General features: G+C 41.3%; 1 protein-coding gene and 1 long non-coding RNA gene across 8 annotated transcripts in view, besides 1 other annotated feature; one reads left to right on the top strand and one right to left on the bottom strand.

Annotated features, from left to right (window-relative positions):
* Window positions 1-18,095, bottom strand: part of MYO16 (myosin XVI) — a 712,290-nt gene that overhangs the window by 101,485 nt on the left and 592,710 nt on the right. For all 7 annotated transcript variants that reach the window (XM_011521062.2, XM_047430183.1, NM_015011.3 and 4 more), the window contains one exon: window positions 5,634-5,736. In XM_011521062.2, coding sequence (XP_011519364.1) covers window positions 5,634-5,736 — 103 coding nt within the window. The remainder of the gene's footprint in view (window positions 1-5,633; window positions 5,737-18,095) is intronic.
* On the top strand, window positions 4,563-5,966 carry MYO16-AS2 (MYO16 antisense RNA 2). Its single transcript, NR_046538.1, has 3 exons — window positions 4,563-4,978; window positions 5,164-5,323; window positions 5,712-5,966. It is a non-coding gene; the product is annotated as an MYO16 antisense RNA 2 (long non-coding RNA).
* Window positions 4,872-6,071: an enhancer, noted in NCBI's record as "MED14-independent group 3 enhancer chr13:109752798-109753997 (GRCh37/hg19 assembly coordinates)". NCBI's record gives its function as "activates an origin of replication core promoter dependent on BRD2, BRD4, P300/CBP and CDK7 cofactors, and independent of MED14, by STARR-seq in HCT116 cells {active_cell/tissue: HCT116}" and the evidence as "EXISTENCE:reporter gene assay evidence [ECO:0000049][PMID:35650434]".

The following is an 18,095-nucleotide window of genomic DNA, read 5'->3' as shown; positions in this document are numbered from 1 at the left end:
AATTAGCTTCAGAGGTTTTCATTTTACATAAATGATATAACATGAAAAACAAGCATGTTCCACAGGGGCCTAACTGCTGTCCAGTCACTCTTCTGTGGCTTGGAGAAATTCGGGCAAATAGTCTTTGATTAACTATACACAGTTCCAGAGGGATCCTTTCCAAGTTACCTTAAGATAGCACTGAATTTAAAATGCATATGTTCAGATAAGGAAAATACCTGAATAATAACAATAATGAAACAAATAGCAGATGGTTAATAACTACTGGCTTAATTTAACTTGTTTTCAAACCAGGAATTAATTCAAACTATTTGGATATTTTTCCATAGTGAGGTAATCCATGAACTCTTCGTTTCATAAAGAAAACTATATCTGCTGCGACAGAAAACAGCACTAGAAGTTAGTCATGCAGGTCTTACTCAAATCATTTCAAAATACTTCCATTCCTTTTTGCAAACAAGTTACATAAATCCCACTTTGCAAATAAGGACGTGGCTCTGACTAGTCCACCATGTTTTTAAAATATGTCATTTCACTGTAAACATAAGAAGCCACCAACGTGAAAGATTCCCTTCTAGCCACCACTACATCCTGATTTTCCTTTCTTCAAAATCAAACCACATTATGTAAAAGTAGCAATTTTGAGTATGTTAAGGAAACAGCAACATGTATGACTTTGCCAAAACTTATGGTGACCAGTTCAAATTCTATGAAAAAGGGCACAAGATTCCTTTGAGAAGTACAGTCTAGTGGTATAAAAGACACAACAGAAATTATATATTGGAACACAAAAATGTTTTGGTGCAAAATGCAGTGTGACTTACAGCTTTCTCACAAATGTTTAAAATAATTAATTTGACCCTATATAGTATTCTATGCTAAAATTACATTTATGTAGTAGTTTCAAAATTTTAAAATTATTTTTAATTATAGAATTAATGCATTAATACATGTATCTTATACACGTAGATATAAAGCTAAAAATCCATTGGATTCTTATTTCATTTCAAAACAATAAATTTTAAAAAGTTTTTTGTTTGTTTGTTTTGAGATGGAGTTTCACTCTTGTTGTCCAGGCTGGAGTGCAATGGCACAATCTCTGCTCACTACAACGTCCACCTCCCAGGTTCAAGTAATTCTCCTGCCTCAGCCTACCAAGTAGCTGGAATTACAGGCGCCCACGACCATCCCTGGCTATTTTTTTGTATTTTTAGTAGAGACAGGGTTTCACCATGTTGGCCAGACTGGTCTTGAACTCCTGATCCCAGGTGATACACTCGCCTCAGCCTCTCAAAGTGCTGGTATTATAGGCATGAGCCACTGCGCCCAGCCTGTAAAAATTCTTACATGTCTTTGCATCCACATCAAGTGTACTGTATTGTTTGGTAGTTTCTTATTTACAGAAACTCATTTCTTGGCCCAGCATCCAGGCACAGAGTGTCTGTCCTGTGTCTTTCTCTGGCTTCTATGCTGGGGATGCAGCAGTAAGCTGCAGACACAAAGCCCTCGTGATGGAGTTCCCACGCTATGGAGGAAAGGTGGTGAACAGCATGTTAAGGACTGCAATCTGAAGCGTAACAGAAGGTCCCAGGCACCATGGAGGAGAACAAAGCAGAGAAGAGGATGAGAAGATGCAGTACGAAGGTCGAGGATAGTGAGAATTTAAAATCTAGTAGCCAGGGAATGTCTCGCTGAGAATTGGCACGTGAGCAAAACTCGGTATACTGTAAACTGTGTGGATCTGCGGAATAGCCTAATAAACTGTTTTCAAACTGCCTTTGCTCTAGCTGCGAAGGTGCAGCGATGCTCCTTTGACATGCATTTCCACCAGCACCGCCTATGAGTTGCCCCCACCCCTGTCCTTTCCTCTGGATGGCCTGAGTCACATCTAGGTCTTAACCCTCAGAATTAGAATTGACATCAAATGCTTCCTGAGACTCTTCACTTGATTCCAGTTCTTCTCCTTCTCTATCGTCTCCTTTCCTTACTCCTCCTTTTCCTTCTCCTCTTGTTTCCAAGATGTAGTTGGGAATGAGGGTGCAAAGGCATTGTGCTATTTCAGGGTCAGTTTGATTGACAGTTTGGGTTGAAAAGGATTCTGATCAGAGTCACCCTGTAATGGGAAGTAGTCTGCTTGTTTTTCCTTCATTTGCTGGGTGAATTATAAACATAAAAAAGACACTGTACAAGGGGCAGGCTGCTCAGATGAATAAACGGTATAAGTGCCTTTGATCAAAGCTTGTACTGTGATGCATAATCTACCCCTTCCAAGTCCTGTAATATGAGCAAAATGACTTCAGATAGTTATATTAGAAGATACAGATTGAGTTAAATGCAGTGGAAAGAACATGACATAGGAAAAGCTAGACGTTGGTCTCAGCAAAGTGGCACTCCCACTGAAACTGAATATTAACTGCACCTAGTATTTTGATCAGTACACTGATCTCTAATTAAGACAAGGGCTCTCTGTGACGTTCCATTACCTCAAATCTAAAATAAGGTCACTCCTGTACGTGCTGTCTACTTTCCTTTTCTGCATAGAGTTATTAGGCTCAAATAAAATAAAATAAAAACTATGAATAGTTGTAATATACTCTGTAGATGAGAGGAATTATTTTTTATTAAATACTAAAAATTCCAGTACCTCATGTGCGACTACAAACCTGTGACTACCTAAAGCATGAAAAGCAGACACAGGTGCATAGATCGGCATACAAAAGTAATAGTACTGAAGATACCACATCTCTATCCTCATCTGAAACAGAAGGAAATCAAATGTGCACCAAGGCTTACTGAATTGCTACAATGTTGGAGAGTATAAGAATTACAGAGTTACCATCTCATATTGATGATTCAAGGCTTTCCTTCTACAGGGTCTGATTAAAGTTAAAGAGAGAAGAGAAAACCTGCCAGATCTCCAAGACGCATTAGAATGACAACGAAATTACTATTTTCAGTTAAAAGAAATGAATTTCTAGCTAACACTGTATACCACTTAACACAGCAAAATATAATTCTAATCACTTCTGTCCTCCAGCACTGCTTTTAAAAATATGGAAAAGAGTAACCATTCATTTCATGCTAACCACTCAGGACTAAAGGATGAACTGACTGGTTAATGAAAACACACATTATAACTCTTAGCAATTTGGAAATAATGCTACAGATAGAATAACCATCCGATACAACCTTGTTGTCCCTGCAGCCTAACAGCTTCTGATTGAATCCCTGTATTAATTAAAAACAGAATTGACTAGGAGGAATTCTTTCTGTAATTAGCAACACATATCTAAAAAATGCTTTGCTTTTGAAACTGAGGAGTCTAACTTTCCAGGTTAGGAATGAGTGTTTTTTGTTTTATTTATTTATTTTTTAACAAAATCTTTTTTTCCTTTGTCAGACCAATATAAAAGTGAAGTATGAATATGCTTCATTTCTGTGAAGTTGATTATTTGTCTGGTAGTATAAAGTATATCATAGGTTACATCGTGAAGAAGCTGAAGAAATACTGTCTTTTCTGACTAGACAACAGGGAACTCATAAGCAAATATACTCAGTGAATGAGCACATTTATTTCTCTTTCCTTTTAATTTTTTTGTCTTGTGTTTTCAGCTTCTTTTAGGCAGGTGAAAAGTGTGGAGAAAATAGATTAGTGCCATGAAATGGGATCCCTTTCCCATTTAAAATAAATTTTAATGCTCTTGTTGAAAGTCCCAATGTATGTTTCAATTTAATGCTATCCTCAGCTGCAATCCTAGCAAAAGCACCAATATAGAAGAAATGATGGCTGGCAGGGCTTACCAATTTGTCTTCTGGTCTCCTCTCATATTTGACCTGTACTTTACAGTGGTCTATCAGAGGGACCACTGCTCAGATATTGTGGTTACTGCCAATCACTCTCTTAGTGAAATAATTATTACAGATTCCCTTGCTTTCTTCTACAAATAAAAATTCTCCCTCTCTCTCTCCCTCATACACATACATCTATCTCACAGATATATATATATATATACACACACACACACATATACATATATACACATACATATACATATATGTATATCATTATCTGTAAGTAGTCTTTAAAAGCAAAATAATACAATAAGAATATCTTAGTGTTACATCATCCGTGGACTACTACTATATAATTACTTATTCAAAATCTCAGTAATGATTCCATTGAACTGACTTCAGTTACCTATAGACAGAATAAATGCTGATATATGTGAATCCCACCCCTATGTCACTGACTCTGGAGGGGTTGGCAGACATCACTTTTGGTTAGTAATTCCTCCTTCTTCCTCCTTCCCTTTTTATCCAATCTTTTGGCACTGATGTGCATCACTGACAACTTCAGACTGAGTAAGCTTCCTCCTTCAGATTGTTATTTAAAGTTCAAATTTCATTATTAGTTAAAAAAAAAAGAAAAGGAAAAAAGATAACAAAGAAAAAGATTGGGTGGCACAGACAATTAAATCATTACTCATCAATGCCAAAATTCTAGGTTCTTTGTTCTTTGTCATAGACAGATGAGTGTGCGAGTGTCAATCCAGTCTTCCCTCCCTGTTTTACTTAGACTGGGCCACTTTTGGACCTATTCAGCAATTCTGAATCATCAGCTCATGTCATTTCTAAAGCCAAGTCCCCATCCTTTGACTCATCAATTATCATATATTTTTACTCATAGATATTCTCCCTATCACTTTTTAAAGATGCAATTTATGTCTACTTTCCAGTAATCGTCATATTTTTATCAAAGCTTTTAGCTACCATTTGTTTTTGCCACCTATGCACTTTTGGTGGTTTTACAGCAAGAAACTTCCAAATAATTTCTGGTGTCATGGACTGCGTGGTTTCCCATTGTTGCTCTAATCTGCCCTTCTCACTTCAAACCTCTACTTCCTAAAATGAGTCAAGGATGGACTCTGATGTTGTTGAAGGTATTTACAAAATCTGGAACCATCTTCTCCTGTTTCTGGTAAACATTTGCCTGTAATTTTGTCTCAGGTTATTTTCTTTTTCTGCAAGTCTAGCTGTAGCTTTCATTGGCCCCTAGGGTCTACCATTCAAATGGATCACAGACTATAATAAAGTGTTTCCAATTATGAAGCTTTTGCCAACAAATGGGCTTCAAAGGATGGTGACATTTTCACTGTATGGCAGGTGAGAAGCAGGGCAAAGAGAAACAGAAAAAAAGGGGAGCTGACTGAGACGTGAACGAGCTGGGGAAGTCCAGGTTGAACATGCACTTATGAGAGACCAACTCTGCACAAAGAAATCAACCTTAGTTCTTCAATTTTGGCTCCTCTGACTCCTGCTATGGGTAAATATGACAAAATGCTTTACTGACAAGGTATGAATCTGACACACGGGCAAACAGAATGGGGCTCATAAGCTTCTGTCATGTTGTAAAGGGAGCCTGTTAGATTTCCTCTCATGTTGGCTGCAAGATGTTAAAATCGGTAAGTCATAAAGAATGACAAATTTCCAGGGAATACACTTAATGTCACGCCTTGCCAAACACATCAAAGGAATTTGTTTTTGCCAGGAAGATTCTGGTGGCTCCCTGCAATGACTCAGCTCATTTATTTAAAATCCTAAAATGTTATTTTCATAGCTTGTAGGTCACCAACCTGCCAGCCTTGTAATTTACACTGCTGGAGAACAAGTCGACATCGCTCGGCAGCTGACTGTTCCTTCTTCTCACGCAGGAATGTATCAGCCAGTGGCTTATACCTGTGAAAAGCAGCAGAGACAGAAAGCAATGACTGCATTTGCCAAGCACATGATCACATTCAACAGGGCTGTCTTTGTTACATCGTTTCCCAAAAGTTTCCCCGTCTTTCTTTATCCCAGGAACAGCCAAATACCTGTCCATTGTGCATTTACTAGGGAACTGGAAAGAATCCTTATCTTTTATAAGGGAAATGGTTTTTACAACGCGTCAAATATATTTTTCAGTCCTCTAATATATGTTTAGCACTGTCATGAAGCACTTCAAACCATTTAACCAAAGGAAATTTGAAAGGAATGAAAATTAATCCAGTAGCCATTTTTAAACATTTGGCATGCTCTTTAAAAACATACCTCTTAAGAAATTTGAGCATTCTTTATGGCCACTTAAGCGTGAATTCAGATGTAACTAGAGTCCATAATAATGGAATACCAAAACGTCCATTCAGAATACTTATTTGAGAGGTAGAATCGCTTCTTCCCCATATATTATATATCGAATATTTCAAATATTCTGGGACATTTTTATTTTGTAAAGTATCAGTGAGCAATTGACTTTCATTCCCTAGCTGAAATTCATGGCAATATAATAGTTTCCTACAGGTTTTTCAAAAATGACTTTTAAAATTACATCATCCATTTAAAAAAAATCTATGTAAAATTCCCTTTGCACTTACAGTGGTTAACCTGAGATACAGGCAAGGTTGCAATGGAGGAGGAGGAAGAGGAGAAAACCAGAAAGGAAATGAGCAAAGATCTATGCAGTTGCATCCTGTTGCCTTCTGTGTTTATGATTCTCATGTTCGGCTGTTCCGCAAGCCGAAGGAAACGCAATGCCAAAGCTGAAGTCATCAGTTTTCTGTTATTTTCTGTTTAATACCTTAGTGTTTCATCTAAAGTTCACTGCAGTAAATTTGGTATCTTCTAAAATGAGTTTATTCAGTTTCCTTAGTGCAATTAAGGGAGGGAGTGTTTTGCCTACACATCTTTATTTACTTGCTTTCCTCAGAGCAAGTAGTGGGAGTATGGGACATGTCTCATGGACAGCCACATGGGAATCACACGTGTGTCTTATTTTGGCAGGTACTGTGGGTAAACGAGGGCTCACATGTGCGGCAGTACAGTCTGGTGTGTAACATAGGCTGGGAAACACACCTGCCATGGATAGAATGTATCTCAAGGTCCCTACGTTCAAATCCTAACCCCCAATATGATGATATTAAGAGGTGGGGCCTTTGACAGGTGATTAAGTCATGAGGGTGGAGCTTTCATGAATGGGATTAGTGCGCTTAGAGGAGGCTGAAGAGAACAGACTTATTCCTTCCTATTAGGTCAGTGTAAATGTAATTGTGGTTTTCGCATTGTTGAAATTTGCCGTTTGATATTGGAATACATTCTTAAATAAATGTGGTTATGCTATACATCATGTTAGTGTGCATTTCTTGCTTTATGTTTTTTGCGAATGACTTATTACTTGCTGTTTATTTTATATTTATTTTAGCCTATGAGAATAATGTTAGATAAAAAGCAAATTTGAGCGATTTTCTTATTTGGGTTCCAAATGGGTCACAAAAGAGCAGAGGCAACTCACAACACCAACAATGCATTTGGCTCAGGAGCTGCTAATGAACATACAGTGCAGTGGTGGTTCAAGACGTTTTGCTAAAGAGACGAGAGCCTTGAAGATGAGGAGTGCAGTGGCTGACCATTGGAAGTTGACAATGACCAACTGAGAGCAGTCATCGAAGCTGATCGTCTTACAACTACATGAGAAGTTGCCAAAGAACTCAAGGTCGAACATTCTAGGGTCGTTTGACATTTGAAGAAAATTGGAATGGTGAAAAAGCTTGATAAGTGGGTGACTCATGAACTAAGTGAGAATTAAAAAAATGTAGTTTCAAAGTATTATTTTCTCTTATTCTATGCAACAACAATGAACCGTTTCTGGATCAGATTATGATGTATGACAAAAGTGGATTTTATATGACAACCAGTGATGACCAGCTCAGTGGTTGGACCAAGAAGCAGCTCCAAAGCACTTCCTAAAGCCAAATTTGCACCAAAAAAGAGGTCATGTCACTGTTTGATGATCTGCTGCTGGTCTGATCCACTACAGCTTTCTGAATCCCAGCGAAACCATTACATCTGAGAAGTATGCTCAGCAAATCGATGAGATGCACGGAAAACTACAACGCCTGCAGCCGGTATTGGTCAACAGGAAGGGCCCAATTCTTCTCCATGACAACGCCCAACAACACGTCACACAACCAAAGTGGAAAGACTTGGGCTATGAAGTTTTGCCTCATCCACCATATTCACCTGACCCCTTGCCAACCATCTACCACCTCTTTAAGCACCTCGACAACTTTTTGCAGGGAAAATGCTTCTGCAAGTGGCGGGATGCAGAAAATGCTATCCAAGAGTTTGTCGATTCTCAAAGCACAGAATTTTACACTACAGGGATAAACAAAACTTACTTCTCATTGGCAAAAATGTGTTCATTGTAATGGTTCCTATTTTGATTAATAAAGATGTGTTTGATTCTAGTTATAATGATTTAATATTCACGCCTGAACCGCAATTACTTTTGCACTAACCTAACACCATGTGAGAACACAGTTCATAGAGAGAACAAGAAGGTTCTCTCTCCAAACCAGGAGGCGAGCTTCCACTGAATACTGAATTTGCTGACAATTTGATCTCGGACTTTCCACCCTCCAGGACTATGAGAACTTTCTGTTGCTCATGAGCCACACAGTCTATGGTAATTTGGGAAAGCAGATTGAACTGACCAAGACAGTACCCAGTTACCTTCTCAGCTGAAGACATTTCTTATTTCCTTTCTTAAATCCTCAGCATTCTCACTGAAAAGTCAGTGTATGACTTTTCCTGGATTGAGAATCCTCATCATCTTGCTAGCCAAAAACCAGAATGAATTTATCAGTATCAGCAACCACCCTTTCTTCTCATAGATGGATTTTTGCTCATGTTTCAAACTTAGTGTATAGGAAAGCATAAAAATACAAAAAATGGTAAGTAACAGAGACTGAGGCTGAAGTAACTGAGACTGAATTTGCAGTGCCAGAGGCAAGGATATGAAAAAGGTGGCTCATTATTTTACTCACACTAAATGGACTTCAGTGATTTGTTGATGGGTGAAGTATTCAGGAATTGTTTTGCTTTTGATAGGTGACAAGAATGTGATTTCTTACACGCCGTGTACTGAAGTTGGTAGCTGTGTGTTTTATTTTATTTTACTTTATTAATTTTTATTGGGGTTTCTGCAGAAGAAGAAAGGGAATTTCCCCTGTACAACAGAGCAGGGCAAATGGGTATGATGGGGGATATGTAGAGGGTTGGGAACCGGGAGTAAGCTGTGCAAAGGGCAGTGCATGTGGACCACCCAGAAGGTTATGGGCATCCCCTAATGATTCTCTCACATGATATCAGTACCTCAGTGAACAGAGTTTCACTCTTGTTGCCCAGGCTGGAGTGCAATGGTGTGATCTCGGCTGACCGCAACCTCTGCCTCCTGGGTTCAAACAATTTTCCTGCCTCAGCCTCCTGAGTAGATGGGATTAATGGTGCCCGCCACCACGCCCAACTAATTTCTGTATTTTTAGTAGAGACAGGGTTTCACATGTTGGCCAGGCTAGTCTCGAACTGCTGACCTCAGGTGATCCACCCGCCTTGGCCTCCCAAAGTGCTGGGATTACAGGTGTGAGCCACTGTGCCCAGCTGACATCAGTACCTCTTATGAACAAACATGGGTTAGGTTTGATAATGTCTGAGTGGTTAAAAGGTGACAAGTGATATAACTGTACAATGTGTTCAAATGGGAAAGAAACTGAATTGGGAATCTGAAAACTGAGATTTAGGTCCCACTTTGTAACCAGTTTGCTATGATGCCCTTGGCAAGTCACCTAACAAGCAACGCTCTACCCTCCCTCAGAGCTGCCTGTTTGCGTTTCTCCGGACAAGACATAAATTCTATTCTGTGTTACAAACTCTGACCTCTCCTCAAAGTGTGTGAGCTCGCCCAGAGTAAGGGGACATCTTTGTACATTTTATGGTGTCTCCTAGCTTGCCTTCGAATGTAGCAAGTTTAAATAACTGATAGCCAAGAAATGGGGCTGTGGAGCAGGAGATGGTAAGTCGCATTTCTTGAGCCCTGAATGAATGCAAAGGGCTTTTCATATCACCTCACATCCTCCTCACAGACACAGGCCTGGATGACAATCGTCTTTTGATAGTGAGACAGATAATGGTTGTAGACATTCATTCACTTACACAAGTTCACAGGGATGCTGTTATGGGCTGAACTGTGTCCCCCCGCCAAAGATAAGTGAATGTGATGTTTAGGGTCTTTGGAGAGTACTCAAGTTAAGGCGAGATCATTAGGGTAGGGCCTAATCCAATATGACTCATGTCCTGAAAAGAAAAGGGAAACGCCACGGGAGACACAGAGCAGAGGGCCACGTGATGCAGGCAGAGGTGTCAGTGACACAGCTGCAAGCCAAGGAACACTGAGGATCTATGGCTGCCACCAGAGACCAGGAAGAGGCAAGAGCGGATGCCACCCAGAGTTTCAGAGGAAGCCCTGCTGAGACTCAGTGTTGAACTTCTCACTTCCAGAGCTGGGAGAGGAAATGCCTACTGCTTTAAGCCATGGAGTTTGTAGTACTTGGTTACAGCAGCTCTGGGAAGCTGACACAGATGAGGAAAGTGGCTGAGCTGGAATTGAACCCAGGACAATCTAACTCCAGGGCCAAGCTCTTCATCGCCGTTGCTACAGTTTTGATGACAACTAACAAGTCCTAATCCTAGATGGTTCTAGAGTGGAAAAGGATAAGATTTACCCTTAAAAACTGAAAAAGTAAAACTCAACAGTAACCACTATGATATTGGACATGTAGGAATAAGAAGTCTTGGTTTGTTGGCCTTCGGTGCCTGCAGGCTCTTTAACAGTGAACTCATTCATGCCCTCAGGAAAGCCATGTGTTTCTAACATTTAGCCAGAGTAATACACTGAAATGAAATCACTCAAGTTATTTTTTTAATTCTCTCTCATAATTGTCTCATTCTGGAAATTTGTTAATTATAACCAAGAATTTAATTGATATAATTCGAGCATCTGAATATAGTATTAACAAGTCAGAATGAAAAATCATGCACCTGATGCTTTTTTCTCATTTTAAATATTTTTTTGACACTTAAAATGGTATAATTCTGACATTTCAACTAAAGAAAAAGATCACCTCAGACAGGATGACATACTCTATGTTAGTGTTATGTAAAACATCTTGTCTTTTGGAATATGAGTGTTTTCTATAGGTGGTGTCACAGGATAGAAAAACAGGGTCACATTCCATTCCTGAGCTAAAACACGTTCCCCCAGTAACTTTGATCTGAGGCCACACGGTTTGCAAGCCTGGAGCAGGACGTGAGTCCGGAGCACAGGAGCAACTGGAGAGGGACTTATCCACTCTCACTCCCCACACTGTCCCAGCGTCTGTCATCCAAGACACACAGGTCGCCTCAATCCACTGAAGACACCTATATTTAGGCTTCACTTGCTCTGTGTCTGAGGCAAACCAATGGACTGTAAAAAGTAAACATGAGCCTTTCCAGACAGCCTGCTCTTCCTGTCTTATCCTGGTTTGGGATGAGGGGAACAACTGTTATCTACTTTCATATCTAGAATCAGGGTTTGTGGTTCACTTACTCAGGATCAATCAATCAATTCACCAGTATTGACTGAGCACAAAGTCTGTGCTGGGGATGCTCCTAGGTGCTGGGAATGTAGCAGGGAATAGCAGCCAAAGCCCTTTATGGTAGAGAGAGCTAGAATTAAAAAGCAATCTTGGAACCAACCCAAATGCCCATCAGTGATAGTCTGAATAAAGAAAATGTGGCACATATACACCATGGAATACTATGCAGCCGTAACAAAAGCATGAATTCATGTCCTTTGCAGGGACATGGATGAAGCTGGAAACCATCATTCTCAGCAAACTAACAAAGGAACAGAAAACCAAACACCACATGTTCTCACTCATAAGTAGGAGTTGAACAATGAGAACACACTGGGGCCTGTCAAGGGGTTGGGGGCTAGGGGAGGGATAGCATTAGAAGAAATACCTAATGTAGATGACAGGTTGATAGGTGCAACAAACAACCATGGCATGTGTATACCTACGTAACAAACCTGTACGTTTTGTACATGTATCCCAGAGCTTAAAGTATAATAATAATAATTTAAAGAAAAGTAAATAAGGGCTGGGAACAGTGGCTCACGCCTGTTGTCCTAGCAACTTGGGAGGTTAAGGCAGGAGGATGGCTTGAGGCCAAGAGTATGAGACCAATCTGAGGAACACAGCAAGACCCCATCTCTACAAAAATTTTAAAAATTAAGCAGACATGGTGGCACAAACCTATATTGCCAGCCACTCAGGAGGCTGAGGCAGGAGGATGGATTGAGCCCAGGAAGTTGAGGTTGCAGTGAGCTATGATCACACCATTGTACTCCAGCCTGGATGACAGAAACCCCAACTCTTAAAAAAATAAAGTAAATAAGGAAGTGTGTCAAATAAAATGAGAAATGTGGAGAAAGATAAAGCAGGAAAGCTTTCACTGTGAGCAGACACCTGACAATGAGGGAGGAAGCTGTGGCTTCTCTGGGGGAACTGTAGTCCCGGTGGAGTGGGGGTGGTGCATGGCTGCTCTGGGAATATCAAGGAGTCGAGTGTGGCTGGAGAAGAGGAAGGGAGAGGAAAGTTGTAGGAGATGAGTTTCGAAAGGTTAGTGCAATGGGGTAAGGCTCAGAATCCTGTAGGTGACTGTCAGGACCTCAGCTCAGACCCTGATTCCTGGGTGTGAGGTTCCAGCCCAGGAGCTCTGTTCCTTGACTGTGAAGAAAATCATCATCGATACTGTGAGGCTGAGTGCGGCTGGAGAGGGGCAGGAAAGAGTCAGGGCTGCCATCTGGAGGACCTTCCTATAGTCCAGGTGAGAGGCATTGGTCCAAGGCAATGGCGACGGAAGAGGTAAAAACGTGCTGGGCTCTCTACATATTTGGGTAGGCCCAGCCGGATTTTCTGGTGAATGGATCAACGTGGCTACGACAGGAAGAGAGGATGACTTCAAGGTTTTTGACCTAACAAACTGGAGGCTGTGGCTGACGTTTCCCACAGTGTAGTAGACAGGGAAGAGCATTTATTCCCCAGACTAATGCTATTTAACAGGAGGGAAATACTGTGACTGAGAAGCAAAAAGGAGAAATTTGGGTGGAGCTTCGGAAGGAGACATTGACCAAACGTCAGCCAGTCCCCCACACTAGATTTATTACCTTGCTGGTTGCCAATTACTTATCTGTGGCTGGTCTCTTTACTGCCATACACCTCTGTCTGACTGGACAGGGCAGTACTGAGCATTTGGGAAATGGATGCAGCTTCTGTGATGGTGCGGAATGCTCATGCCCTCATGGGGTTCCAACCTCAAGCTGTGTTATGTTAGACGCTCCATTTGCCTCACTTTTCTTGTGATGGGTTTCTGACCACTTTCAACTTCCCCTTCTTCTTGTCAGTCTGCATCCTAAGTTGGCAGTGTATACTAAGTGTGGGGTTTCAAAAAAGTTCTATCATAGTTAAATGAAAATTTATCTAACATGAGTCCCATTCGTCAAGTACATTCTCAACATCAAGGACTCAAGCATAAAAACACGCTTCCATACATTCACGTATTGTGACTATAACACTAAAAAAAACAGAAATCATAGTATCTTACAAAATTATAAGTGAAAGAGCCACATCATAGATAGTCTTCATTTTGGAGTCTGTATTTTTAAAAGAACAGGCTGAAATTGAAGAGGCAGAGAATATCTAACTAGTAAAAGGTGTAAAGAACCCAAGGAAAGTGATGAAATAGTGTTCTCTCTTCAAAAGTGATTGTTCCTTCCAGTATAAAGCAGAACTTTGACATCCTATGTATCATGGACCTAGAGATAAAAACAGCTTATGCAGTCACCACAGGATTCAGATTAAAATGGTGACTTTTTTTAACTTTTATTTTAGATTTGGGGGTACATGTGAAGGTTTGTTACATAGGTAAACATGTGTCAGGGGGTTTGTTGTACCTATTATTTCATCACCCAGCTATTAAGCCCAGTACCCAATAGTTATCTTTTCTGTTCCTCTCCCTCTTCCCACCTTTCTCCCTCAAGTGTCTGTGGTTCCCTTCTCTGTGTTCATGAGTTCTTATCATTTAACTCCCACTTATAAGTGAGAACACGCAGTATTTGGTTTTCTGTTCCTCTGTTGGTTTGCTAAGGATAACGGCTTCCAGCTCCATCCATGTTCCACAAACGACATGACCTCATTCTTTTTTATGGCTGCATAGTATTCCATGGCATATATGTACCACATTTTCTTTATCCAATCTGTCACTGATGGGCATTTAGGTTGATTTTAAAACATAGTGAATTTTAATTGACTACTTAAAAAAAGACTATCAGGAAGTAGGAGAATCATTTTCTTAGAAAATATACTGTATGTTTTTCAAGCTAATGTTTATTAACCTCAGATGCACTTTCTCTGAAAATGTCTTTGTTTGTTAAATATTGGCTTTACCGCTTCATTCTCAAGGAAAATTTTGTTATGAAAGTAAAACTTATGTTGTTTCAGTGTCCTGAAACCCCTTAGAAATTTAATTCTACTTGAGAAGTATTTATTGAACACTTACTAAGAGAAACATAATCTGCCAAGAAATGCCAAGATCACTAAGATGTGTAAAGCAATATTCTAATTTTACCGCACATGGTCAAATATAAAGCAAGACTTTTTTGGACCAAAATTATACCTCAGAAAAGATGCGGTTTTCTTATTTCAAGATATTATACTATTTATCTTATTACGGTTATATTCCAATTACTTCATTGTGAACAACAAAATAATATTTGGGGAGAACCATTAACCTCGTGCTCTTCCAGAAAGACTGAATAATCAATAAAAAGAGAAAAACTAAAGGAGAAAAATGGAATATCGTAGGAGTTACCTATTGGAGGATTGGCAGAGAAAGAGAGTGGTGAAGGGGAGAGGAAAGGAGGACCAGGAAAGAAAGGACTGGATGGGAGCCGTCCAATTTTGGAGCAGCCAAGGGAAGGCAAAGTTGGAAATGCGGTCGCCAGTGCTGAGCACTGCAGAGGAAGAGAAGCAGATGCCCACTGAGGTGGCTGTGGGATTTGGTGACTGTGGCGTCAATGGCAACGTCAGACACGGGAGACACTAGATTACGATGGCATCAAGATGCTAGCAGCTGGTGGTTCTTAACATCAATCAAAGAAAAGACCAATAGCTGGAGGGTGAAATAGAATCAATGAGTGCTTTTTGTTTTTCAGAGGCAAGGGAAAACCGATTAAGCTTGCAGGCAGCAACATTTGTAGAAATACACACAATGTCTACATTCTATTCATATTTATTTTTGTATATTTCCATTTTCCACCAGATCATCTTATTTAGCAATTTTAGCTCTGATAGAATGAGGATGTCCCCTTTCTTCTAGAACCACTCCTGGGCATTTTCCCTGAGGCACTGCATGGTGTCTGTACCTGCCATGCACACCAAAAACGTGGCTGTCTGCCCATGGCTACATATGGATGCATTTCCCCCATTCTATGAACTTATATTCATATTCCAGCTCTCACAGTAAACACAAAGCAGGTGCGGAAGGGTGATTTTCAAGCTATTTGGGGCTAATTTCCAGCATTCAGAAGGCTGCATGGTGGGTTGAACATAACAGCTGCCTAGCAACAAGACTGACATACATCAAGAAAACAGAGAGAAGTATGAAGAAAAAGGAGCACAAGTGGGCTTGAGAGAGATATAAAACCTGCTTCAATGTGGAGAGCCGGGAAGGATAAGAAAGAGAAATGGGACGGGGAGGGGCGGGGATTGCAGAAGTGCTTTTCCCCTAAGGAGGGAGTACTAGTTATTTTTTCTTTTAAGGAAAAGGATATGAAAGCAGAGACAAAGTTGTCAAAAACGTTCTAGTTCACACAGAAATCTATTTTGTTCTCTACACGTGCACATTTTTTCCCTCCTTCCCATGATTCTGACAGGAAATATCCACCCATCATTGCAGTTTAGTTCTGTCTGTCCTGCTGTGGGTCTCCTCTGCTGTCCTGCAGCCTCCGCACGCCCACACTGCAGGGCAGGGCCCCCTTTCACCATGCACTCCTGCCCACCCCTTCTTGCATTCTGCCCCTTCCTGAGGGTCCTCTGCATCAGGACCAGTCACGTCACCTCCCATCTCCCCACAATCCCTGGCACTTGCCGTGCCCTTGAACTGGAGCCTGTCAGCAGACATGTGGACGCACAGCCATAGAGCTCACCAGTCTTCTCCCTCAGTTCCCATGACCCCGCCCTGCGTATTTACAAGAAAGATGGAAAGGGGACTTCAGCTATATCTTGCGATGGCTTTTGCACCTCCTGAGTGCTGAGGCTTCGAATTTGGTCTTGAGTTTATTTTCACATCTACAGGGACCCGTATGAGGCTTCTCAGTTCTCACCATGGTCTGCACATGGCTCTGCTAAGGGAGGAAGAAGTCTTCGCATTATCACTATGACAATTCCAGGGCTACTGCTTCTAGGGCTGGCCAACACGGATTTCCCTTCTACTTCCAAACTAAGGAGAACAGGCTGCTATCGTCTTTTAGGAACACAAATGCACCACTCAAACGAAGACATTGTGACACTTCACATTGCTGCAAACGTCTTTCCCATGCAATTCTTGGCTCAAGAGCCTCCTTGGAACCATAGGGAAGGGCTGCCTCGCAGCCCCAGGAGGTCTCTCTTGCAGTCTGGGGCACTGGTATGGTAAGGGACTTCCCTAAATTCTACATGCAGCTTTCTGCAGTTGAAAATGGAGCGTGAGGGAAAAACAGAAGGGAGGGAGGGACAGGGAAACAGGAAAACAAAGGAAGATTTATAGAGTGCCCATAAATTCCAGGTGTGATATGAGACGATTCCACATCATCACTGACTTCTCACAACAACTCCAGAATGACATTTTAAGGCATTATGTCATAAGACAGTCAGTTTATTGCAAAGCTAGCATCTTAATCTGGACTGTAGGATCTTGAGTCAAATGTAGTTTCTAAATCAATATGGGAGATGGGATGATAGATGTTCCTCCCTATTGTTTTAGTGTTTGAAAAGATAAAGACAACCAACATACAGAATAATGTACAAATGAAGCATATTAGTAATACAGAAAACAGCCAGGTGCGGTGGCTCATGTCTGTAATCCCAGCACTTTGGGAGGCTGAGGCGGGTGGATCACCTTAGGTCAGGAATTCGAGACCAGCTTGGCCCAAAATGGCGAAACCCCGTCTCTACTAAAAATACAAAAATTAGCTGGGCATGGTGGCGGGCACCTGTAATTCCAGCTACTCAGGAGGCTGAGTCAGGAGAATCGCTGGAACCCAGGAGGTGGAGGCTGCAGTGAGTCAAGATCATGCCACTGCACTCCAGCCTGGGGGACAGGGCGAGACTCCATCTCAAATAATAATAATGACAATAATAATAATAATAATAATAATAATGCAGAAAACAAAAAAGGCAAGACTCTATGCTATTCTCTTAAATTCTATGATTGCTTTTGCCTTAAATTCCAAGTCTTCTAAATCAGGGTCATATTCCCCCTCTCCCCCACCCTCTCTCATTGTGGCGGTGGTTGTTTTTGTTACTAGTATTTTAATGTCCTTATGGCCAAATTTATTAGGAATTAATCTCTTAAGATTCTAAGACAGCATCTGAAACGGGACTCAGTTTCTGACTCTCACAACGCCGTTGGCAGAAACCCAGAGGAAGGGAAAGGAGCGGGCCTGGAGGAGTGAGGGGCTGCCCGCCCTCCTGAGCGGTTGCGGGACCACCTGAGGCCCTCGGCGGGGCTGTTCACCATCGTCTGGCCATGGCCAGGCTGCTGTGGCCTCTCCTCCTCTGTGTGCTTCTGTCTAAAGGCGCTGTGTCTTCTTCTCGCGCGATGCGGAAGGGCAGCCTGTGGCGGTGCCGAGCATGAAGGACTGCGGCCCGCTGAGCTCACTTCACCGCAACCGCCGCCTCTCAGGCACCGCATCCGCAGCACCGTCTTAATCCCAGGGATTCATTCATGTACTTTATGTCATTAAGCCAGGGGGTCTCTCCTCCCAGACAATATGGGAGCTGAATAATAAAAAAAAAAGAATGCTGAATTATGCTTCAGCTCCTGGGATTAGGCAATACCAGGAAGCAGATAAAAAATGAATTCAGAGCATCTGCTAAGAATTTACATGACAATACTCTCGAGTTCTCTTACTCAAAGCTGGT

This window comes from Homo sapiens, chromosome 13 (assembly GCF_000001405.40).
Source record: "Homo sapiens chromosome 13, GRCh38.p14 Primary Assembly".
Taxonomy (NCBI): domain Eukaryota; kingdom Metazoa; phylum Chordata; class Mammalia; order Primates; family Hominidae; genus Homo; species Homo sapiens.
Note: the sequence above shows the minus strand (reverse complement) of the source record. Positions and strands in the feature narration are given on the sequence as shown.